General features: G+C 47.0%; 1 protein-coding gene, 1 long non-coding RNA gene and 1 pseudogene across 18 annotated transcripts in view, besides 2 other annotated features; 1 reads left to right on the forward strand and 2 right to left on the reverse strand.

The window, feature by feature from the left end:
* LOC107984869 (uncharacterized) overlaps positions 1-24654 on the reverse strand; it is a 46624-nt gene extending 21970 nt beyond the window's left edge. The window contains exon 1 of the long non-coding RNA XR_001752339.2: positions 24274-24654. This is a non-coding gene — a long non-coding RNA (uncharacterized LOC107984869). The remainder of the gene's footprint in view (positions 1-24273) is intronic.
* Positions 69-570: an enhancer, noted in NCBI's record as "H3K4me1 hESC enhancer chr16:16018443-16018944 (GRCh37/hg19 assembly coordinates)". NCBI's record gives its function as "activates a minimal SCP1, AML or CMV promoter by ChIP-STARR-seq in naive H9 embryonic stem cells {active_cell/tissue: H9 hESC(naive)}" and the evidence as "EXISTENCE:reporter gene assay evidence [ECO:0000049][PMID:30033119]".
* Positions 7129-7825, reverse strand: RPL15P20 (ribosomal protein L15 pseudogene 20; annotated as a pseudogene).
* Positions 17866-18033: a silencer, noted in NCBI's record as "fragment chr16:16036240-16036407 (GRCh37/hg19 assembly coordinates)". NCBI's record gives its function as "represses an EF-1alpha promoter that drives an FKBP-Casp9 reporter gene in an ReSE screen in phorbol 12-myristate 13-acetate-treated (for megakaryocytic differentiation) K562 erythroleukemia cells {active_cell/tissue: K562(+PMA)}" and the evidence as "EXISTENCE:reporter gene assay evidence [ECO:0000049][PMID:32094911]".
* Positions 24626-25580, forward strand: part of ABCC1 (ATP binding cassette subfamily C member 1 (ABCC1 blood group)) — a 193911-nt gene continuing 192956 nt past the window's right edge. For 16 of the 17 annotated variants that reach the window (NM_004996.4, NM_001438755.1, NM_019898.3 and 13 more), the window contains exon 1: positions 25099-25282. In NM_004996.4, the coding sequence (NP_004987.2) occupies positions 25235-25282 (48 nt within the window). In that variant the 5' untranslated portion in view covers positions 25099-25234. Of the gene's footprint in view, positions 24744-25098; positions 25283-25580 lie in introns of those variants that run through there. The other variant, XM_047434134.1, reaches the window with a different exon arrangement.

The following is a 25580-nucleotide window of genomic DNA, read 5'->3' on the forward strand; positions in this document are numbered from 1 at the left end:
CTTATTACTATGATTTTTATAAAAGTGGTTTCAAGCATATAAAGAATGTTTGTTATTACTATTATGTATTATTTTCTTTATCATGATACTTCAGTCAAAAGGAACTGCTTAGGACAGCTTGAATATGTCCCATAGTTACAGCCTGCAAGCCTTTTTCTTTGCTGTGCCATGTGCCTAAGACACCATCCTTCGTTTGTGTGTGTCAAAACCCCACCAGTCTGTCCTCTTAATCCCAACACCAATGTCCTGGGTGCCAATAAAGGCTTTCCTCACCTCCAAATTGAGATTTTATTGACCTCTCTTGGGGTGCTTATACTGGCTTTGGGTTGAAATCTATTTTTTCTCCTCTCCCTTGAAGAAGCACGTCTCTTTGCTTAAGGGAACGTAGAAGCCACAGCAGATCCTAGCAGATATCTGTTACCCTGAAGAAGAGGTCAGGGCCCAGGCACGGTGGCTCATGCCTGTAATCCCAGCATTTGGGGAGGTCGAGGTGGGCGGATCGCTTGAGCCCAGGAGTTCGAGCCCAGCTTGGGCAATATGGCAAGACACCGCCCCCCGACTCTACAAAAAATACAAAAATTAGCCAGGCGTGGTGGTGAGTGCCTGTAGTACCAGCTACTTGAAAGGCTGAGTTGGGAGAATCAGCTGAGCCCAGGAAGTTGAAGCTGCAGTGAGCCGTGATCGCACCACTGCACTCCAGCCTGTGCAACGTGGCAAAACCAGAGTGGGGCCTTGTCTCATTTTAAAAAGTAATAAGAGACCGAGCACGGGAACTCAGGCCTGTAATCCCAGCACTTTGGGAGGCTGAGGCGGCCAGATCACTTGAGGCCAGAGAGTTGGAGACCAGCCTGGCCAACATGGGAAAACCCTGTCTCTACTAAAGATACAGAAATTAGCCGGGTGTGGTGGCAGGCACCTGTAATTGCAGCTACTGGGAGGCTGAGGCAGGAGAATCGCTTGAATCTGGGAGGCGGAGGTTGCAATGAGCAGAGATCGAGTCACTGCACTCCAGCCTGGGCCGCAGAGCAAGACCCTGTCTCAAAAATAAATAAATAAATAAATAATTTAATAAATAAGAAGAAAGGGTCAGGGCCATTTTTAAAAGGCACTAGATAAGGCCTGGTTGCAATCAGGGAGTGCGGGCAACTGATTTCTTTGAAGCCTCCTCTTGTTCTGTTTCCGTGACATTGACAGGGACCAGCTCCCATGGTTCAGGAGCTGCTGAGGGTTAACATCCTGTCCCAGGAGGGATCTGACCACACCAATGGCTTTATCGTTGCCTAATTGGGGAGGCCCTGTGGGGGATGTTTCAAGGACTGAGAGTGCAGAGGAGCCTCCCGCATGCAGTTACGCTGATGGAAACACAATGGGTGGATTGCCACAGGGGCCCGCAGGCTCGCTGGCAAACAGAGCGCACAGGTGGAAACCTTCCCCGCTGACCAGATACTTTGTTTCCTTTCTGGGGAGGCAGATAAAACAGTTACCATAACCCAAACCCTGCCCACTCTTCATTTGCAAACTGCAATGCTCTTAGACATCTTCCTTAGGTAAGCGCTTTGAGAGCTCCTGTTCATTTCAGGACTAAAATGAACAATAATAGCGACCGTCCTTCAGAGCCTGCTGGATGCCAGGCACCTCACAAGTGTCTCCCAGTGCTGGGTGCAGTGATTCACACCTGTAATCCCAGCACTTTGGGAGGCTGAGGTGGGTGGATCGCTTGAGCTCAGGAGATCAAGACCAGCCTGGGCAATATAGTGAGAACTCTGCCTCTAAAACAAAGAAAAAGGAAAAAGTAACTCCTGGTGAATTTCCACCTTAGAACAAGAGTGGGAGGTGTCCTATTCATGATCTTTAATGCTTTGCTCAAATATCACCTTCTCTGTGAGGCCTACCCTGACCACTCTGCTTAAAATTGCAACCCTCCACCACCTCCACCCCGCATCGCAAGTTCTCGTCACAGCCTTTCTCACCTGCTACCCACTCCATGATTTACTTATTAAGTATGTTTGTTAGGCCGTGTGCAGTGGCTCATGCCTATAATCCCAGCACTTTGGGAGGCTGAAGCAGGTGGATTACCTGAGGTCAGGAGTTCAATACCAGCCTGGCCAACGTGGCGAAACCCCATCTTTACAAAAATACAAAAAAGTTAGCCAGGTGTGGTGGTGCGTGCCTGTAGCCCAGCTACTCGGGAGGCTGAGGCAGGGGATTTGCTTGAACCTGGGAGGGAAGGTTGTAGTGAGCTGAGATTGCACCATCGTACTCCAGCCTGGGCGGTAGAGCAAGACTCTGTTTCAAAAAAAAAAAAGTATTGCTAAGTCAAAAAGTATAAACAGTCTAATTTTTTTTTTTTGAGACAAAGTCTCGCTCTGTTGCCCAGGCTAGAATGCAATGGCACGGTTTCGGCTCATTGCAACCTCTGCCTCCTGGGTTCAAGCGATTCTCCTGCCTCAGCCTCCCGAGTAGCTGGGATTACAGGCATATACCACCATGCCCAGCTAACTTTTTGTATTTTTAGTATAGATAGGGTTTCACCATATTGGCCAGGCTGGTCTCGAACTTCTGACCTCGTGATCCGCCCGCCTTGGCCTCCCAAATTGCTGGGACTACAGGCAAGAACCACCGTGCCCTGCCTGAAGAGTCGAAATTTTTTTTTTTTTAAACAGTTTCACTCTGTCGCCCAGGCTGGAATGCAATGGCACATTCTCAGCCCACTACAACCTCCGCCTCCCAGGTTGTAGCCATTCTCCTGCCTCAAGCCTCCCAAGTAGCTGGGATTATAGGCACCCACCACTATGCCTGGCTACATTTTGTAGTTTTTTTTTTTTTCTTTTTGAGACGGAGTTTTGCTCTTGCTTCCCAGGCTGTAGTGCAATGGCGCCATCTCTGCTCACCACAACCTCCGCTTCCCAGATTCAGGTAATCCTCCTGCCTCAGCCTCCCGAATAGCTGGGATTACAGGTATGCGCCACCACGCCCAGCTAATTTTGTGTTTTTAGTAGAGATGGGGTTTCTCCATGTTGGTCAGGCTGAACAACCGACCTCAGGTGATCTGCCCGCCTCAGCCTCCCAAAGTGCTGGAATTACAGGTGTGAGCCACCACGCCTGGGTCTACTTTTTGTAGTTTTTAGTAGAGACAGAGTTTCACCATGTTGGTCAGGCTGGTCTCGAACTCCTGACCTTAGTCGATCTGCCCGCCTCAGCCTCCCAAAGTACTGGGATCACAGGCGTGAGCCACTGCGCCCGGCCCAAATAGTCTAAATTTTAATAAATACTGCCAAATAACACTTTCAAAAGAGTATCCATTCATACTCCCACCAATGGTACATAAAAAGTCTCAATAACAATTGGTAAAATTGGTTTGGTGGGGAATTCAACTCTACACTGCTGAGCTGCTGCTATTTGCAACCATAGAATCTTTTTTTTTTTTTTCTTCTGAGACAGAGTCTCGCTTTGTCACCGAGACTGGAGTGCAATGGCGCTATCAAGGCTCACTGCAACCCTTGCTTCCCGGCTTTAAGTGATCCTCCTGCCTCAGCTTCCCGACTAGCTGGGATTACAGGAGTACGCCACCATGCCCAGCTAATTTTGTATTTTTAGTAGAGACAGGGTTTCACCATGTTGGCCAGGATGGTCTCGAATTCCCGACCTCAGGTGATCTGCCCGCCTTGGCTTCCCAAAGTGCTGGGATTACAGGCGTGAGCCACCGTGCTGGGCCCTGCAAACATAGAATCTTAGAGTTGAAAGGGACATAAAAATCCATCGAATTCTTGTCCAACTCCCCTCCCAAGGCAGCAATCCCCTGCAATACAGCCTTGTTTACAACGCTGTTGTCTGTGACTGGGGTCAAACTCCACATCTTTGATCTTAAGAATAAACCACCACTGACAGTGGGCTTATCACATCCAGTAAGTTTGTTATATCACTGGGCCAAAATCTACTTTCCTGGTGGGGCCCGGTGGCTCACGCCTGTGATCCCAGGACTTTGGGAGGCTGAGTAGGGTGGATCACCTAAGGTCAGGAGCCAGAGACCAGCCTGGCCAACATTGCGAAACCCCATCTCTACTATAAATACAAAAACTAGCTGGGTGTGGTAGTGCATGCCTGTAGTCCCAGCTACTCGGAAGGCTGAGGCAGGAGAATCACTTGAACCCAGGAGGCGGAGGTTGCAGTGAGTGGCGATCACTGCACTGCACTCCAGTCTGGGTAACAGAGCGAGACACACACACACGCACACGCACACGCACACGCGCGCGCGCACACACACACACACACCCTACCTTTCCTGCAACACACCCCACCTATCCTAGCTCAGCTCTGGGAAGTAACACAAAAGAGCTAATCCTTTTCCACATGACAGCCCTTAAAATATTTGAAGACTGTATCACATTTCCCCAGAGCCTTCTTTTTGTGGGGTACAACTTCCCAGTTGTGACCAAACACGTCCCTTCCATAGGAAAGTGCTGACTGGAGTCTCTTCAGCTGAGTGGCCCAGCATAAGAGCTTTAGAGTCACTAGGCTTGGGTTCAAGGCCATGTTCCCACCCCTTCCAGCCACCTGACCTGGGCTAAATCACTTCTCAGACTAGTTTCCTCCCTTGGATAAACTGCATAGCAATAATACCCATGTCATAGGGTTGCTGGTTTGGCCACATTATGATTTTTTTTCTTTTTGAGACAGAGTTTTGCTCTTATTGCCCAGGCTGGAGTACAGTGGCACAGTCTTGGTTCACTACAACCTCCGCCTCCTGGGTTCAACTGATTTTTCCTGCTTCAGCCTCCCGAGTAGCTGGGATTACAGGCACCTGCCACCATGCCCAGCTAATTTTTTGTATTTTTAGTAGAGTCGGGGTTTCACCATGTTGGCCAGGCTGGTCTCGAACTCCTGACCTCAGGTGGTCCACCCGCCTTGGTCTCCCAAAGTGCTGGGATTACAAGTGTGCGCCACTGCTGGCCTTTTTTTTTTTTTTTTTTTTTTTTTTTTTTGAGACAGAGTCTTACTCTGTCACCCAGGCTGAAGTGCAGTGGCATGATCTCGGCTCACTGCAACCTCCGCTTCCCAGGTTCAGGTGATTCTCTTGCCTCAGCCTCCTGGTAGCTAGGACTACAGACACCCGGCACCACACTCAGTCACATGGATTTTTTTGGTGGGTTCCTTCCTCCATAAGAAAAAAAGTGTTTTAAATCATATTTTATGACTGTGTTAGTATAAGGATGAATATAACAAGGCCTGGTGCAGTGGCTCATGCCTGAAATCCCAGCACTTTGGGAGGCCAAAGTGGGAGAATTACTTCATCCCAAGAGTTCAAGAACAGCCTGGGCAACATGGCAAGACCCTTTCTCTACAAAAAATAAAAAATATAAAAATTAGCCGGAAGTGGTGGCATGTACCTGTGGTCCCAGCTCCTCGGGAGGCTGAGGTGGGAAGACTGCCTGAGCCCAGGGGGTCAAGGCTGCAGTGAGCCATGATTGTGCCACTGCACTCCAGCCTGGGCGCCAGAGCTCCTGCTCAAAAATACCAAAAACTAAAAACTAAAAATAATATATATATGTAATAAAGGCAGGGTTATGTTTATTTTTTCTTCTGATTTTAAAAGAAGTAAAACATTTTCATGGGGCCCTAAAAGTATTGTGGGCCTTAGGCATCATGCCTTCTGTAAGTTCATAGGCCCTGGCTGCTGGAAGGAGTAAAAAAGAAAAAACATGCCAAATATGTAAAGTGCTTAGCGCAGCACTGGGCCTGGCTCTTTGTAACTTAATAAATGGTGATCAAAAATTAAAAAGTGCAATGCAGGCCGGGTGCAGTGGCTCACGCTTGTAATCCCAGCACTTTGGGAGGCCAGGTGTGCGGATCACGAGGTCAGGGGTTTGAGACCAGCCTGGCCAACATGGTGAAACCCTGTCTGTACTAAAAAACACAAAATTAACCAGGCATGGTGGCACACACCTGTAATCCCAGCTACTTGGAAGGCTGAGGCAGGAGAATTGCTTGAACCTGGGAGGTGGAGGTTGCGGTGAGTCGAGATCACACCATTGCATTCCAGCCTGGGCAACAAGAGTGAAACTCCGTCTCAAAAAAAAAAAAAAAAAAAGTTGGGGGTGTAGTGCAGAGAACAGAGTGTAACCCTGGAGAACTCTGCAGAGCTTTCCTTTTTTTTTTTTTTTTTTGAGACGGAGTCTCGCTCTGTCGCCTAGGCTAGCACAATCTCGACTCACTGAAACCTCTGCCTCCCGGGTTCAAGTGATTCTCCTGCCTCACCCTCCTGAGTAGCGGGGATTACAGGTGCATGCCACCATGCCCGGCTAATTTTTTGTATTTTTAGTAGAGACATGGTTTCACCATATTGGCCAGGCTGCTCTTGAACTCCTGACCTCAGTTGATCTGCCCACCTTGACCTCCCAAAATGGTGGGATTACAGGCATGGGCCACCACACCTGGCCTGCAGAACTTTCTTTATTGGCATGCATTGGGACTTGCAGACTCAGCTTCAGCTGAATGTAAGGAACAGTTCCTGGGTCCATGTTTTCTCACTGTGTTCACAGAGTCTTGCAAGAGATTCTGCAAAAAGACACACAGTCTATGGCATTTATCTTGAGACGAGAGAAAGTATACATTTAAGGACATGTGCGTGAAGAATTCTGGAAGGATAAAGAAGATATTAATTTATAGCCATTACCTATTGAGAAGGAAGGATTGGGAATATTGTGAATAGGTCCAGGAGTGGGAGAGAGACTTTCCACTGTATGCCTACTGATAGTTTTGATGTGTAAACAATGATAATAGAGTGCTGATTCAAAAATGTTAATAATTTTTTTTTTTTTTTTTTTTGTGATGGAGTCTCACTCTATCACCCATGCTGGAGTGCAGTGGCGCAATCTCAGCTCACTTCAACATCTGCCTCCCGGGTTCAAGCGGTTCTCCTGCCTCCACCTCCTGAGTAGCTGGAATAACACTTGTGCACCACCACACCCAGCTAATTTTTGTATTTTTAGTAGAGACAGGGTTTCGCCACGTTGGCCAGGCTGGTCTCGAACTCCTGACCTCCGGTGATCTGCCAGCCTCGGCCTCCCAAAGTGCTGGGATTACAGGCTTGAGCCACTGCACCTGGCTCAAAAATCTTAGTAATTTTTTTGACTGTCCTAAATTGTTTATTAGGTATGAGTTTTACAAACTTTACTTATATTAGTGGTAACAGTGGAGATTGAGAGTATTGCGCCTTCTCCAAGCTGCCCGGCAAGAACCACCAATAGTGTGGTGGAACTTACGGCCCTTTCCAAGGCCATGGCTCTTTTGGCCTGCACATGCCAGCCCACGCATCTCCTTGTGCTTGTGGACTGGTTTGGTGATCCACTGGGTGTCAGGATTTCTTCCAATAGCTTTATGGAATGGATCAATGAGGATAACCTCAAAAAATTTGTGTGTGGAATCTTCACCCATCCAGTAAGAATTCAGGACTCTTAGAGCCCCACAGTGGCGTCCAACTCACTCCTCTGCAATCAACTGTAGGCTTCAGTTAATACCATGATGGACAGGCTTGCCGTAAGTTGCACCCTTAGGAACTGAGCATTTTCGGCCATCACGGAGAATACGAATCCCGTAGATAACATAACCTTGCTTGATCTTGTAGCCCAGTTGGTGCACTTTATCGGGCCGGGTGGGGCGGGGAGCCCTGTGGAGAGCAGAGAGCTGGCGGTACTGCCAGCAGCGGACCCTCAGAAGAAAGCTCATGACATCAGACTGCTTCTTCCTCCACAGCTCGTGGATGTACTTGTATGCACCCATCTTGGCTTACCTGATTGCTGCCGCCAGACAGAAGGGCCAAAAATCTTAATAATTTTTATTTTGAAAAATATATGCATGTGGTTAGAAAAAACTTCAAACAGTTCAAAAGGGTGAAAAGCAACTCTCCCTCTTGTACCCAGGGAGTACCTGGTAAGATATAACATCTCATACAGGACTTACAGAACCTCTATAAAAACTATTAAAAAATTTTGTTGAGAGACAGTAAAGAAGACCTAAATAAATGGAGAGATATACATGTTCATTGATTGGAAGAGCCTAGATTTGAAGGCGCCAACTCTTGTATTGATTCATAGATCAAATTTAATCCCAATGAAAAGCTCAGCCTTTTTTTTTTTTTTTTTTTTTTTGCAGAACTTGACAATCTGATTCCAAAACTGATAGGGGAATAAAAGGGAGTCAAACTACCCAAGACACTCTTGGGAGGAAAAAACAAAACCAAAAATGAACTGTGGGCTGGGCGCAGTGGCTCACGCCTGTAATCCCAACACTTTGGGAGGCCGAGGCAGGTGGATCATCTGAGATCAGGAGTTTGAGACCAGCCTGGCCAACATGGTGAAACCCCGTCTCTAATAAAAATACAAAAATTAGCTGGGCATGGTGGTGGGTGCCTGTAGTCCCAGCTACTTGGGAGGCTGAGGGAAGAGAATCGCTTGAACCCAGGAGGCAATGGTTGCAGTGAGTCGAGATTGTGCCACTGCACTCCAGCCTGGCAACAGAGCGAGACTCCATCTCAAAGAAAAAAAAAAGCTAGACATCAAGTTAGGGAGAGGAAGACAAACCAGAACCCACATTCCTTTTTGACGCTGTTGTTTACTTTTCCATTATAGCCATTCTAGCACAATTAGAGTAATATCTTATTGTGGTCTGTTGAAATACTTTAGAGGAAGTTACACAGATCATGATAGATTACTTTAAATGCCATGCCATATATCTCTAAAAATACACGTTTATGTATTGGAAGACTCAATATTGTTAAGATGGCGATACTACTCCAAAGTGATCTATAGACTTGATGTAATCTCTATGAAAATCCCAATGTCCTTGTTTGCAGACCTGGAAAATTCAAACCTAAAATTCACATGGTATCGCACCCAACAGCCAATCTTGAAAAATGAGCAGAGTTGGAAGACTCACACTTGGTGACTTCAGAATTTACTACAAAGCAACAATAATCGAAAAGTTTGGTATTGGTAGGAAGATAGGCATATAGATTAGTGGAATAGAATCGAGAGTCTGGAAATAACCCATACATCTATGGTCAATTGTTTTGTTTTGTTTTGTTTTTTTGACAGAGTCTCACCCTGTCACCCAGGCTGGAGTGCAAAATTATCACACCTGTAAGTTCCGAAATTTTTTCTCTTATTATTTCATCTACAGCTTTTTTTCCTGTGTTTTGTCAGTTTTATTTTTCTGAAATGCTTATTATTTAGATGTGGGATCTTTTTGTGTGACCTTCTAATGTTCTCCATTTTCTCTGATCTCTGCAAGATTTCAGCAATTTCTTTCTTCTTCCCTTTTCTTTTTTTACTTCTTGCTTTCTTAATTTCTGAGAGCTCCTTTTTGTTCCCTGAATGTTTCTTTTAAAAGATATACTGGTCGGGTGCAGTGGCTTACACCCGTAATACCAGCACTTTGGGAAGCCAATAGGAGGATCGTTTGAAGCCAGGAATTTCAGAGAAGAATTCTGCAATCTCCTCATTGAAGGTTGTGGTAGTCATACCTGACCCTGTGAATAATTCTAACCAAGGCTGGGCATGGTAGCTTATGCCTGTAACCCCAGCACTTTGGGATGCTGAGGCAGGTGGATCACCTGAAGTCAGGAGTTTGAGACCAGCCTGGCCAACATGGCGAAACCCCATTTCTACTAAAAATACAAAAATTAGCTGGGCATGGCAGTGCATGCCTGTAATCCCAGCTACTTGGGAGGCTGAGGGAGGAGAATCGCTTGAACCCGGAGCTGAGATCATGCCATTGCACCCCAGACTGGGCAACAAAAGTGAAATTCCATCTCAAAAAGAAAATAAAATAAAAATAAAAAAATTCTAACCAATGAGGTATGATTGAAAATGACACACGTCTTTGCCAATCATACTTCATTGGTTAGAATTATTATTATTATTTGAGACAGAGTCTCACTCTGTTGCCCAGGCTGGAGTGCAGTGTTATGATCTCGGCTCACTGCAGCCTCTGCCTCCCTGGATCAAGAGATTCTTCTGTCTCAGCCTCCCAAGTAGCTGGGATTACAGGCATGCACCATCATGCCCAGTTAATTTTTTATACTTTTAGTAGAAATGGGGCTTCACTATGTTGGCCAGGCTTGTCTTGGACTCCTCACCTCAGGTTATCCACCTGCCTTGGCCTCCCAAAGTGCTGGGATTACAGGCGTGAGCCAACATGCCTGGCCTGGTTAGAATTATTCAGAGAATAATTGAACAATTATTCTGTGAACAACCTGTAAACGAACAACCTGAAAATTAAACTAAGGAAAGAAAATTAAGACAATCCACTTGCAATAGCACCAAAAACAATAAAAATACTTGGTAATAAATTTAACAAAAGATGTTCAAAATTTGTACACTGAAAGCCATGAAACATTGCTGAAAGACATTAAGGAAGACCTAAACAAATAGAAAAACATCCCATGTGCATGGATTAGAAGACTCAATATTGTTAAGATGTCAATACTACCCAAAGCAATCAACAGATTTAATGCAATTTCATTGGTCTTTTCTGCAGAAGTGGAAAGGCTGATTCTCAAATTCACATGGAATTGTAAAAGACTCCAAACAGCCACAACATTCTTGAAAAAAAGAAGAACAAAGTTGGAGGGCTCATATTTCTTGATTTTAAAGCTTACTACAAAGCTACAGTAATCAAAACAGTGTGGTATTAGCTTAAGAACAGACATATAAACCAATGAAATAGAATTGAGAGTCCACAAATAAACCTATACAATTATGGTCAATTGATTTTTGACAGGTGTGCTAAGACAATTCAATGGGAGAAAGAATAGCCTTTTAAAAAAATTGTCCTAGGACCACTGGATAAACATGTACAAAAGGATGAAGTTGGACCCTAACCTTGCAATTACCTTAAAAATTATTATAAATATAAGAACTAAAACTATAAAACTCTCAGAAGAAAACACAAGGATGAATTTTCATGATCTTGGACTTGGCAATTAATTCTTAGATATGACACCAAAAGTACAAGCCAAAAAAGAAAAATAGACAAATTAGACTTCATCAAATTAAAAACTTTTGTGCATTGAAGGATATTATTAAGAAAGTAAAAAGACAATGTACAGAATGGGAGAAAATATGTGCACACCATGTATCTGATAAAAGTCTATGTTTTAATGTAATTAAAACATGAACAAAGTTAATTTGTGCGGCAGCAATAAAAAAGGGAAACAAATATGAACAAAGGACTTGAATAGACATTCCTAGAAGATACGTAAATCACCAACAGGCACATAAAAAGATGTTCAACATCATTAGTCTTTAGAGAAACACAGACAAAAACCACAGTGAGGTCTCAATTCACACACACTAGGACAGCTACAATTTTTTTTTAAAGTGTGTGTATTGGGGGGTGCAGCTGGGAACAGTGACTCATGCCAGCACTCTGGGATGCCAAGGCAGGAGGATCACTTAAGTCCGGGAGTTTGAGACCAGCCTGGGCGACATAGCAAGACTGCCATCTCTCCAAAAAATTAAAAAATTAGCTGGGAGTGGTGGCACACCCCTGTGGTTCTAGCTACTTGGGAAACTGAGTCGGGAGGATTGAACCCAGGAGTTTGAGGTTGTAGTGAGCTATGATCATGCCACTGCATTCTAGCCAGAGCAATAGGGTGAGATCCTATCTCTAAATTACATAAATAAATAAATAAGTAAATATGCAGAAAATAACAAATGCTGACAGGAATGTGGAGATATTGGAACACTCATGCATTGCTGGTGGAAATGCAAAATGGTTCAGCTGCTGAGAAAAACTGTTTAATGATTCGTCAAAAAGTTAAACACAGAATTACCATATATCTCAGCAATTCTACTCCTAGAATATTCACAAAATAAATGAAAACATGCACTCACATAGATGCACATACACACATGTCGACAGAGGCACTATTCACCGCGCCGGACCCAAAACATGTATTTTCTTAGGAACACCAGATAGCACTTCAGTGCTATGCTTGGGGGCCATTTCAAACAGCAAAATCAATAATAAATACCACAGAAATGTGAAACCTATGGCACACAAATGCTGCAAAAAGGACATTTGTGGCCTGGCGCAGTGGCTCACGCCTGTAATCTCAGCACATTGGGAGGCCGAGGTGGGTGGATCACCTGAGGTCAAGAGTTCAAGACCAGCCTGACCAATATGGTGAAACCCCGTCGCTACAAAAAATACAAAAAATAGCTGGGCGTGGTGGTGGGCACGTGTAATCCCAGCCACTCGGGAGGCTGAGACAGGAGGATTGCTCAAACCCAGGAGGCAGAGGTTGCAGTGAGCTGAGATCGAGCCACTGCACTCCAACCTGGAAGACAGAGTGAGACTCCATCTCAAAAAAAGAAAAAAAAAAAAAGGACATTTACAATAGGACAGCTGAAACAAGAAGTCAGGGTGTGGCCTCATTCAACCTCAGATAGGAACATGTGTGTTGAGCAACTCAAATTTTCTTCTTTTTTATTTGAGACGCAGCCTTGCTTTGTCACCCAGGCCCAGGCTGTCCCAGGCCCAGGCAGTGACGTGATCTCGGCTCACTGCAACCTCTGCCTCCTGGGTTCAAGTGATTCTCCTGCTTCGGCCTCTTGAGTAGCTGGGATTACAGGCACCCACCACTATGCCCAACTAATTTTTGTATTTTTAGTAGAGACTGGGTTTCGCCATGTTGGCCAGGCTGGTCTCGAACTCCTGATCTCAAGTGATCCGCCAGCCTCAGCCTCCCAAAGTGCTGGGGTTACAGGCGTGAGCCACCGCACCCAACCCTTTTTTATTTTTATTTTCATTTTTTTGAGACAGGGTTTTGCTCTGTCACCCAGACTGGAGTGCAGTGATGCCATTGTGGCTCACTGCAGCGTCAACTTCCCAGGCTCAAGTGATCCTCCCAGCTTCCAAAGTAGCTGGGACCAAAGGTGTGCACCACCACAGCTGGCTAATTTTTTTTGTCTATTTTTGGTAGAGACGGGGTTTTGCCATGTTGCTCAGGCTGGTCTCCAACTGCTGAGCTCAAGTAATCCACCCACCTCAGCCTCTCAAAGTGCTGGCATTCCAGGTGTGAGCCATCACGACCAGCCAGGGATCTCACCATTCTTAAGTGCCTCTCATTGAATTCTCCTGTTGATAGTTGCATTGATTTCTCACTCCTTCTTCTACTCTGTCTCTTGCTACATCTGGACCCTCTCTCATTCATTTTCTCAAAGACATTCATCTAGAATGTCTAATTTTTGTGGTTGGGATCAATACAGTTCACTTGCTTTATGGGGTGGGAGGAGTGTAACTTTTCTTTAAACTGAATTCTAAGCAGTTTTCAGTTTTAACTCACTACAGTCTCCATGCTATATTCTGAATGTTTATATCCCCCAAAATTCATATGTTGAAATCCTAACCCCTAAGGTGATGGTATTAGGAGGTGAGCCTTTGAGAGATGATTAGGTCTTGACAGTGGAGTTCTCATGACTGGGATTAGTGCCCTTATAAAAGGGACCCCAGGCTGGATGTGGTGGCTCACGCTTGTAATGGTTCAGCTACCAAGGCCCCCAAAGTGTTGAGATCGCTTGAGCCCAGTGGTTTGAGACCAGCCTGGGCAACATAGTGAGACGACATCTCCACTTAAAATTGAAATAATAATAAATAAATAAAAAGGACCCCAGAGAGATCCCCTGCCACTTATCATAGGAAGGCACAGTGAAAAGACAGCTATCTAGAAAAGCAGGTCCTCTCCAGACACTTGAATCTACCAGCATTTTGATCTTGGACTTCGGTACCATGTTACAACAGCCATACATTGTGCTACTGATATTCCATATATAATTGACATTTTCAGGGTTTTTTGTTTTGTTTTTTGTTTTTTTGTTTTTTTTTTTTTTGAGACAAAGGCTCGCTCTGTCGCCCAGGCTGGAGTGCAGTGGCACGATCTTGGCTCACTGCAACCTCCGCCTCCCGGGTTCAAGTGATTATCCTGCCTCAGCCTGTTGAGTAGCTGGGACTACAGGCATGCACCACCACGCGCAGCTAATTTTTGTATTTTTAGTAGAGATGGGGTTTTGCCATTTTGGCCAGGCTGGTCTCGAATGCCTGACCTCAAGTGATCTGCCCACCTTGGCCTCCCAAAGTGTTGGGATTACAAGAGTGAGCCACCACTGCACCTGGTCTCTTTTCTATTCGTTTTGTTTTTTGTTTAAATAAAGACAGGGGTCTCCTTATGTTGCCCAGGCTGGTCTGGAACTCCTGACCTCAAGTGATCTGCCTCCCTCACCCTCCCAACGTGCTGGGATTACAGGCATGAGGCACTGAAACTGGCAGAATTTGAAGGTGAGGATTTGGGCTTGGCAGGGAAAGTCCACGCAGAGCAGAGCTATGAGGAAGACTGAAGCCCAAGCCCAAGGTCTCTCATGACAGTTAGGCCATTTTTGGTAAAAGATCTGAAAGTCTGAATTTGGGGATCCTGTAAATAAAACGTTCATGGGTAGGGCTGAATCCAGGATGCAAATGAAGCCATCATGAGTCTGTTTTTCTCCCTTTCTTGACTTCTGCTTGCCGTTTGTTGGCCCCAGCCTCAGGCTTCATGTAGCAGGGACACGATGGATGTCATTCAGGTACCTGGGTCCCCTCAGACTTCCAGTGAGAGGAGTCAGAAGCAAGACTCTCTTTCCCCATATTCTTTTTTTTTTTTTAAAGACGAAGTCTCACTCTGTTGCCCCAGGCTGGAGTGCATTGACACCATCTGGGCTCGCTGCAACCTCTGCCTCCTGGGTTCAAGCGATTCTCATGCCTCAGCCTCCCGAGTAGCTGGGATTACAGGCATGCGCTAGCACGTCCGGCTAATTTTTGTATTTTTAATAGAGACGGGGTTTCATCATGTTGGCCAGGCTGGTCTGGAGCTCCTGACCTCAGGTGATCTGCTCGCCTTGGCCTCCCAAAGTGCTGGGATTACAGGCGTGAGCCACCGCACCTGGCTTCTTTCCCCAGATTCTTAGCCCAAATTACATTGTGACTCTTGGGCTGTGACTAGGTCACATGATCTCTTTGAACCAATCACTGTGTCCAGATGAATGCAATGCACTCATTGTCTAAGGCTGGGAACACATTTTGGGCACAGGGAATGGCCTTTCAAAACTGTACATCAAATCATGTCCCTTTCCAGTCTGAGGTCCTATCCAGCAATGATTCTCAACCAGGTCGAGTTTGCCCTCCCAGGGGACATTTGGCAACGTAGGGAGGCATTTTTGGTTGTCACAACGTCAGGGTGTGTGTGCAGGTACATTCCTGGCATTTGGTGGGTAGGGGCCAGGAATGAGGCTAAAACATCCTGCAATGGGTCAGGTATGTTGGCTCAAACCTGTAATTCCGGAGCTTTGGGAAGCCGCGGCAGGAGGATTGCTTGAGCCCAGGAGTTTGACACCAGCCTGGGCAAAATGACAAAACACCATATCTACAAAGAAAAATACAAAAATTAGCTAGGCATGGTGGCACGTGCCTGTGGTCCCAGCTACTAGGAAGGTTGAGGCAAGAAGATCCCTTGATCCCAGGAGTATGAGGCTGTCGTGAGCTCTGATCATGCCATGCCACTCCAGCCTGGGTGACAGAGGGAAACCCTGTCTCAAAGAAACAAACAAACAAACAGGCCAAGCATGGTGGCTCACACCTGTAATCGCAGCACTTTGGGAGCCTGAGGCAGGCAGATCGCTTGAGCCAGGAGGATTGCTTGAGCCCAGGAGTTCGAGGCTGCAGTGAGCTATGATCACACCACTGCACTCTGCACTCCAGCATGAACAACAGAGCAAGACCTTCTCCAGAAAAAAATAAAACCCCTCAAAACCAGACAAAGATATCTGCAAAGATAACAGGAAATAATATTTCTCCCAAGGACACTGCAGCTGTCAAGTGCCATGGTGACTTCCTACTGTGAACCACTGCTTTCTGACTTGCTGAGAAACTTTGTTCCAGGAAATCATAGATAATTTGCAGTTTGAAAATATATCAGTGCAGGCCGGGTGCAGTGGCTCACGCCTGTAATCCCAGCACTTTGGGAGGCCAAGGCAGGTGGATCACCTGAGGTCAGGAGTTCGAGACCAGCCTGACCAACATGGTGAAACCCCCGTCTCTACTAAAAACACTTAAGTTAGCCAGGCATGGTGGCGGGTGCCTGTAATTGCAGCTACTTGGGAGGCTGAGGCAGAACTGCTTGACCCTGGGAGGTAGAGGTTGCAGTGAACTGAGATCGTGCCATTGTACTTCAGTCTGGGCGACAAGACCAAAACTCTGTCTCAAAAAAAAAAAAAAAAAAAAAAAAGAAAAGAAAAAAGAAAAGAAAAGAAAATATGTCAGTACAAATGAAATTTTTTCTTCTTGCTTGGAGGATCTGGGCAGTTGGATACCCAGGCACAGCAATTCAGATAAGGGTTCCCTGAACAAAGTGGTCCACATTTACTAAACTTTAGAAGTTAATTTTTGCCTTTGTTTGGTGAAGCAACCCACAGCTGCTCAGTTGCTCTGGTGTCCCTCTCCCTCCTTTTTTTTTTTTTTTTTTTTTTGAGACAGGGTCTCACTCTGTTGCCCAGGCTGCAGTGCAGTGGTGCAATCACAGCTCAGTAGAACCTCTACCTCCTGGGCTCAAGCAATCCTCCCACCTCAGCCTCCCGAGTAGCTGGGAATACAGGCATGTACCACCATGCTTGGCTAATTTTTGTATTGTTTGTGGAGATGGGGTTTTGCCATGTTGCCCCAGCTGGTCTTGAACTCCTAGCTTCAAGTGATCCCCCAGCCTCGGCCTCCCAAAGTGCTGGGATTATAGGCGTGAGCCACCATCCAGCCTTTCCTTGTTTTCAATAAATGAATAAACCTGACTTTCTCACTAAAGGTTAGTCCCTGGTGGCCAGGCTGGTCTCGAACTCCTGGGCTCAAGCAATCCTCCCACCTCGGCCTCTCAAAGTGCTGGGATTATATGTGTGAGCCATCACGCTCAGCCTCATTTATGTATTTGTTATGGCTGCCTTTGCACTCCCATGATAGATGTGAGAAATGGTGGCAGAGACTGCAGGGCCTGCAAAGCCTAAAAAATTTACAATCTGGCTCTTTACAGAAAAACTTTGCTGACCCCTGGTCTAAATGTTCTGAGTACATAAGTGAGCAAAACATAGCTAAATCCCTCCATCATGGAGCTGAAATTCTAGTGGGAAAAAGAAAAGGATTTACATACTTACAAGACACCATAAATACATCTAGTATATGACTTGTATATAACTTAGGGTAATTAAATGGTAAGAAAAGAAGTGGCCGGGCATGGTGGCTCACACCTGTAATCCCAGCACTTTGGGGGGCCGAGGTGGGCGGGTCACCTGAGGCCAGGAGTTCAAGACCAGCCTGGCCAACATGGCAAAACCCTATCTCTACTAAAAATACAAAAATTAGCTGGGCGTGGTGGTGCCAACCCGTAATCCCAGCTGCTCGGGAAGCTAAGGTGGGAGGAAGCACCATGCCCGGCCTGCTTCCACTTTTTGGCTACTGTGAATAATGCTGTTGTGAACATGGGTGTACAAATATCTGTTCAAACCCCTGCTTTCACTACTTCTTTTTTTTTTTTTTTGAGACGGAGTTTCACTCTTGATGCCCAGGCTGGAGTGCAATGGTGCAATCTTGGCTCACCACAACCTCTGCCTCCTGGGTTCAAGCGATTCTCCTGCCTCAGCCTCCTGAGTATCTGGGATTACAGGCACGCGCCACTGTGCCCGGCTAATTTTATATTTTTAGTAGAGAGAGGATTTCTCCTTGTTGGTCAGGTTGGTCTCGAACTCATGACTTCAGGTAATGCACCTGCTTCGGGATCCCAAAGTGCTGGGATTACAGACGTGAGCCACTGCGCCCGGCCTCTCTTATTTTGGTTATATACCTAGAAGTAGAATTGTTGTATTTTTTTCCAGCAGGATTTTATACCAAGGACAAAGGGAGGCCATGGGAAGCTGCATGCAGGGTGCTTTACTAGGTCCCCTGGGGCTGCTGTGAGGCATTCTGATTGTAGTGGGGAAAGAAAGGAAGTGGGGAGACCAAGGAGGAGGTAGGTACAGAAGTTCAGGTCACAGGTAGCAGCAGCTTCAAGGTCCCAATCTGGGCCAGGCGCTCACGCCTGTAATCCTAGCACTTTGGGAGGCCAAGGCGGGCGGATCACTTGAGGTCAGGAGTTCAAGACCAGCCTGGCCAACATGGTGAAACCCCGTCTCTACCAAAAATACAAAAATTGGCTGGGCGTGGTGGTGTGTGCCTGTAGTCCCAGCTACTTAAGAGACTGAGGCAGGAGAATCGCTTGAACCTGGGAGATGCAGGTTGCGGCGAGCCAAGATCCTGCCACTGCACTCCAGCCTGGGCGACAGAGCGAGACTCTATCTTAAAAAAAAATAAAAATAAAATTAAAAAAATGCTCTCAGTCTGGCAGGGGAGGCCATATGGAGCAAATAAATAAATGAATGATTACAAATAGTGAAAAGTACTCCTAAATAAATGAACAAGAACAGAGTGCTGTGATTACAGGAAATAAAAAGAGGAACTCTGGCATTCTCTGTGCTACCTATCAGTTTAGTGATGCTTGAAATCCAAAATTCAAATCTTGCATTTTAATCATGAATCACTTTGCTGCCAGTTGAGTGGGTTTGATGCAGGGCCGAGTCTGTTGGTCTAAGGGTTTGTTACATTGTGAGAGCCCCTAATGGGGAGGAAGGGGCTTAGAAATAAGGCAAAGGGGGTGGTTTGAGCCTGTGGCTGAAAGAGTTGCACAGAGAGGCTTGGTGGTTAGGAGCAGAGCTGAGCCTTATCTCTGCCACATCCCAGCTGCTGGATCTGCAACAAATTACTTCTTCCCTCTAAACCCAGTTTCCGCTTTTGGAAAATGGTAGACTAATTGGTTTGGTCTATAATTACTTCCTTCTTTGTTTTGGTCACTCCTGTGTCTACAGCACCTAATACAGTATCCGGCACACAGGAGACTCGCAATAAATTTCTTTCTTGCTTTTCTTTCTTTCCTTGTCTTTCCCTCCTTCCCTCCCTCCCTTCTTTCTTTCTCGCTGTCTGTCTTTCTCGCTCTTTCTCTTTCTTTCTTTCTCTCTCTCTCTTTTCTTTCTTTCTCTCTCTCTCTTTCTTTCCTTTCTTGATGGAGTCTCACTCTGTCTCTGAGACTGGAGTGCAGTGGCGCCATCTCGGCTCACCTCAACCTCTGCCTCCTGGGTTCAAGTGATTCTCCTGCCTCCACCTCCTGAGTAGCTTGGATTACAGGCATGCGCCACCATGCCTGGCTAATTTTTGTATTTTTAGTAGAGACGGTGTTTCACCATATTGGTCAGGCTGGTCTTGAACTCCTGACCTCAGGTGATCCACCCGCTTCGGCCTCCCAGAGTGTTGGGATTACAGGCGTGAGCCACCGTGCCCGACTCTCGTTTATTTATTTTCTATTTTAAAAATTTTAATTGAGGCTGCGCACAGTGGCTCATGCCTGTAATCCCAGCGCTTTGGGAGGCTAAGGCAGGAGGGTCGCCTGCGGCCAGGAGTTCAAGACCAACTTGGGTAACGTAGTGAGATCCCATTTTACATAAATATTGCAAAAAATGTTAGTCAGGCGTGGTGGTGTCCCCCATAGTCACAGCTACTTGGGGGGCTAAGGCAGGAAGATTGCTTGAGTCCAAGAGTTTGAGGCTACAGTGAGCACCCACTGCTCTCTAGCCTGAAGAACAGAGCAAGAGCAAGATCATAGCTCAAAAAAATTTTTTTAATTGAGTTTAACTTTCATAGAGCAAAGTACAGCAACTTTAAATGTCCTCTTGATGAAGTTTTTTTTTTTTTTTTGAGACGGAGTCTCACTCTGTTGCCCAGGCTGGAGTGCCGTGGCACGATCTCGGCTCACTGCAATCTCTGCCTCCTGGGTTCAAGTGATTCTCCTGCTGCAGCCTCCAGAGTAGCTGGCATTACAGGCATGCACCAGGACACCTAATTTATGTATTTTTAGTAGAGATGCGGGTCTGCCATGTTGGCCAGGCTGGTCTTGAACTCCTGACCTCAAGTGATCCACCCACCTTGGCTTCCCAAAGTGATGGGTGGGATTACAGGCATGAGCCACTGCACCTAGCCAAGCTCAATGAATTTTAAAATATAAATGTGTGTGTACGTGTGTGTGTGTGTGTGTGTGTGTGTGTATATATATATATATATATATATATGTTTAAAACCACATAACTACCACCAAATCAAGTTATAGAACATTTACATCTCCCTAGGACATTTCTTCCTATCTTGACTTTGATCAACATATGTTGTTGTTATTATTATTATTATTATTATTATTATTATTATTATTATTCAGAGACAGGGTCTACCTCTGTTGCCCAGGCTGGAGTGCAGTGTTGCAATCGTACACAATTCACCGCAGTCTGGAACTCTGGGGCTCAAGCAATTCTCCTATCTCAGTTTCCTGAGTAGCTAGGACCACAGGTGTGTGCCAATATGCCCAGCTAATCTTTAAAATTGTTTTGTTGAGGCAGGCATGGTGGCTCACGCCTGTAACCCCAGCACTTTGGGAGGCCGAGGCAGGTGGATCACAAGGTCAGGAGTTTGAGACCAGCCTGGCCAACATGGTGAAACGCCGTCTCTACTAAAGATACAAAAAAATTAGCCAGGCACCGTGGCACGCACCTGTAATCCCAGCTACTTGGGAAACTGGGGCAGGAGAATCACTTGAACCCGGAAGGCAGAGGTTGCAGTGAGCTGAGATCATGCCTCCGCACTCCAACCTGGGCCAAAGGGAGAGAGTCTGTCTCAAAAAATAAAAAAAAAAAAGAAATTTGTTTTGTAGAAATGAGGTCTCACTATGTTGCCCAGGCTGGTCTCAAACTTCTGGCCTGATGAGCAATCCGCCTGCCTGGGCCTCCCAGATTGCTGGTATTACAGACATGAGCCACAGTGCCTGGCTCTTGAATAATGTATATTAGTTTTGCCTATTGTTGAACATCGTGTAAATGAGATCATGGCAAATATGCTCTTTTGTGTCTGCCTTGTTTTGCTCCTTGTTGTGTTTTGTGGGATTCATACATATTGTTGCTATTATGAACATTTTTTGTAGATGTGTTTTGGTGGATGTAAGCTCACCTTTCTTTTGGAGGCGAGTGGAATTTCTGTGTCACTATGTAATTGTATGTTTCACTTTAGCACGAATTATTAGTTTTCTTTCTTTTTTGGAGATGGAGTCTCACTCTGTCACCTAGGCTGGAGTGAAGTGGTGCGATCTTGGCTCAGAGCAACCTGTGCCTCCTGGGTTCAAGTGAGTGTTGTGCCTCAGCTCCCCAAGTAGCTGAGACTATAGGCATGTGCCACAACGCCCAGCTAATTTTATTTTATTTTATTTTACTTTTGAGACAGAGTCTCACTCTGTCGCCCAGGCTGGAGCGCGGTGGCGCGATCTTAGCTCACTGCAACCTGCGCCTCCCAGGTTCAAGCAGTTCTCCTGCCTTAGCCTCCCGAGTAGCTCGGATTACAGGCATGTGCCACCATGCCTGGCTAATTTTTTTGTATTGTTAATAGAGATGGGGTTTCCTCATGTCAGCCAGGCTGGTCTTGAACTCCTGAGCTCAGGCAATCCACCCACCTTGGCCCACCTTTTTGTATTTTTTGTAGAGATGGGGTTTCACCATGTTGCTCAGGCTGGTCTCAATCTCCTGAGCTCAAGAGATCCACCTGCCTCGGCCACCCAAAGTGCTGGGATTACAGGCATGAGCCACTGCACCCAGCCAAATTGTTAGTTTTCCAAAGTAGTTAAGCCAATTTATATACCTCCCAACAGAGCGTGCCTTTTCCAGTTAATCCACGTCTTTGTCTGCACTCGTAATTTTCAGTCTTTGTTTCCAGTCACTCTGGTGGGTGTATGATGGTATTTCACTGGGGTTTTATTTGCATTTCCCTGATGACTAATGAAGTTGAGCATGTTTTCATGTGCTTGCTCAATAAATATTTGTTGAAAGGATGAATAAAGAGTGAATGAATAAAACATGGAAAGAAATCCAACTCTGTCTTGTGCCCTGCCTAAAACCCACCAGTGGTTCCCACTGCCCCTCCTTTGGCCGACGGGTACCTGCCTGCCCTGGCTCCTTCTGACCCCACCTGCTCCGGATGGATTTCTTTTGCTTCTTCTCTGGGTTCCTGCCATCCAGGCTGTCTTCAGTTTCCTCCAAGGACCCTCCCTGCTTCATAACTTTGCTATAAACTGTTTTCTTCTGCCCAGAACACAACCCAGGCCCAAGGAACCCAGACGCGTTCCTTGTATCTCAGTTTGAAAGCCTCTTCCTCCAGGAAGCCTTCTCTGACTTCCACCCCCCAGCAAGGGTGGTATAAATTGCTAACTTAGGCCCACTTTTGCCCACTTTTTTTGTTTGTGTTTTTGAGATGGAGTCACACTTTGTCGTCCAGGCTGGAGTGCAGTGGGGCCATCTCAGCTCACTGCAACCTCCATCTCCTGGGTTCAAGTGATTCTCCTGCCTTAGCTTCCTGAATAGCTGGGATTACAGGCACCCACCACCATGTCCAGCTAATTTTTGTATTTTTACATTTATTTATTTATTTATTTGAGATAGAGTATTGCTTTGTCGCCCAGGCTGGAGTGCAGTGGCATGATCTTGGCTTACTGCAACCTCCGCCTCCCAGGTTCAAGTGATTCTCCTGCCTCAGCCTCCCGAGTAGCTGAGCCTGCAGGTGCCTGCCACCACACCCAGCTAATTTTTGTATTTTTAGTAGAGATGGGGTTTTACCATCGGTCAGACTGGTCTCGAACTCCTGACCTTAAGTGATCTGCCTGCCTTGGCCTCCCAAAGTGCTGGGATTACAGGCGTGAGCCACCATGCCCGGCCACCACTTTTTTTTTCTAGCTGTGACCATAGTTGTACATATCTCCCCTTCCCTGGCTTTTTTTTTTGTTTTTTTTTTCCTGAGACAGGATCTCGCTGTGTTACCCAGGCTGCAGTGCAGCGGTGCAATCATAGCTCACTGTAGCCTTGAACTCCTGGGCCAAATGAGCCTCCCACCTCGGCCTCCCAAAGCACTGAGATTACATGCGTGAGTCACTACTTCTGGCCTGTAAATACCCTTTCAAAAATATAATATTTGATTAACATCTGCCATCTTACCATAAGAAACACTTAAAAAAATCCCAATCCAAAAAAATTCCAATCCTTTAAGCTATATAAGAGTAGCAATTTTATCTTGTTCCTAGCAAGACATCTGGCATATAGTAAATGCTCAATAAATATTTGTTGACAGTATAAAGGTCAAGCAACAGCATAACTGGCATTATTACATGAAAGTAATTATCCCTTAGAAACTCATTCACCCTTGGGGGACCCGGGCCAATAAAAAAATCACAGAAAACAATCCTATCTACCTTCCTCCTTCCTCCTTCCCTCGCTAGGTCCTTTGATTGGGGGGAGGTCTCAAATGCACACACTGTTTCTGTTTTATTTGGTGCAGCTGTTGTGTGCATGTGTTATGGAAACCCACATCAGGCAGGAGATTAAGGAGGAGAGGAGAAAAGAAAGGCATCGCTGGTATCACAGTGAAATTTACACTCTGCGGCCTCGCCCTAGCTCCTCTGTCTCTACCTGTCTGCCTATGAAACAGTTCAAAACTAATATGGCGCAATGGATGGTATTATAGACTTCCCACCTCCCTGGCCAGACTTCTTGGGTTCAAAGTTTGGCTTAATCACTTACCATCTAAATAATCCCTGACAATGTACTCTGTCTTTCTGGGCCTTAGTGGCCTCATCTGCAAAATGGGGATAATACTACTTCTTACCTCATGGGGTTGTGAGGATTGCACAAGTTAATTTGTGTAAATTGCTAAGAACACAGCCTTAGGAAGCCTTGTCACTGTGAATGCATATTAATTTTTTTTATTATTATTTTTTGAGACAGAGTCTTGCTCTGTTGCCCAGGCTGGAGTGCAGTGGTGTGATCTAAGCTCATTTCAACCTCCGCCTCCCAGGTTCAAGTGATTCTCCTGTTTCAGCTTCTCAAGTAGCTGGGACTACAGGTGCCCGCCACCATGCCCGGCTAATTTTTGTGTTTTTAGTAGAGACAGGGTTTTGCTATGTTGGCTAGGCTGGTCTTGAACTCCTGACCTTATGTGATCGGCCCGCCTCGGCTTCCCAAAGTGCTTGATTACAAGCACGAGCCACCATGCCTGGCCTACGATTATCATGTCTCCAGGCTTCAGTTTCCTTACCTCTGAGGTGAGGATCAATAACCTGGTTATTTCTAAGTGATGCTTAAAGAGGTTGAGAAGAAGCAAAGGCGCTCTGCACACAGGTGAGGTCAACAGCTGTTAGTGATGGAGACTGGCGCCGTCTGGGTCATCAGTGCTCCGGAATCAGGCTGCTCACGGGTTTGAATCTCACTTCCACTTTCACTCCTTATTAACTGTGTGACCTCGGGCAAGTCACTTCGCCTTTCTGAACCTCAGTTTCCCCATCTGTAAAAGGTAGGTGAATAACAGTATTCACCTCCTTCTGTGTGACTCAGCTTTGGAGTCAGCGGACCGGGTTCAAATCCCAGCCCTGCAAGTGATTAGCCAGGTGACCCTGGGCAGAGGGAATCACTCAACCTCTCTGCACCTGGGTTTCTTCCTTCATGAACGTGGAGACTTTACAGGATGAAATGAGGGCACAGTTAAGGCGCCCGGTACACTCCAGGCAGGTAGGGGGCTCCGTTCACGTTATTTTCCCCTGGTGACGGATACTGTCCTTAAACAGCATTTGAAAAGTGGTCGCAGGGTGTGTGGCCCCAAAGATCCCAGGCGCTTCCGGAAGGCGAGCCAACGCTCCCCAGGCCCGTCCGCGAGCGGGTGGGCCTAAGCCTTGGAGGATCTGGGGTGGGGGTGGCGCGGGGTCCAGGCCCGGGGCGCCGAGAGGTGGCTGGTCCGGCTGCCCACGCCGAGACGCGCGAGGTGAGCGGGCGCCGGGGCGGGGCGGGGTGGGGCGGGGCCGCCGCATCCCCGTGACGCGCGGGCCAACCAGGCGGCGTTGCGGCCCCGGCCCCGGCTCCCTGCGCCGCCGCCGCCGCCGCCGCCAGCGCTAGCGCCAGCAGCCGGGCCCGATCACCCGCCGCCCGGTGCCCGCCGCCGCCCGCGCCAGCAACCGGGCCCGATCACCCGCCGCCCGGTGCCCGCCGCCGCCCGCGCCACCGGCATGGCGCTCCGGGGCTTCTGCAGCGCCGATGGCTCCGACCCGCTCTGGGTACGTGCCGGGGGCCGCGTGAGGCCGGCGGGACGGAGGGAGGCCGGCGGGGAGGGAAAGCACCGGGCCCGCAGCCGCCCGGGGCACCCCGCTCCCCGCTCTGCTGCCGGCCTCGGGGGCCCGGGACCCTCACGTCGCCCGCGGCCCAGCCCCTTTCGGGGGTGCAAGGCATGGGGGAAACTTGGGTGACTCAGTTCCTGCGGAGCAGAGCGTGGGGGGCCGCGTGCCCAGCCCTGGGGTTTTGGAGGGTCGGGTCGGGTCAGAGCCGCCGTGAGGAGGCCTTCCTGTTTTGGGGTTC

This window comes from Homo sapiens, chromosome 16, assembly GCF_000001405.40.
Source record: "Homo sapiens chromosome 16, GRCh38.p14 Primary Assembly".
Lineage (NCBI taxonomy): Eukaryota > Metazoa > Chordata > Mammalia > Primates > Hominidae > Homo > Homo sapiens.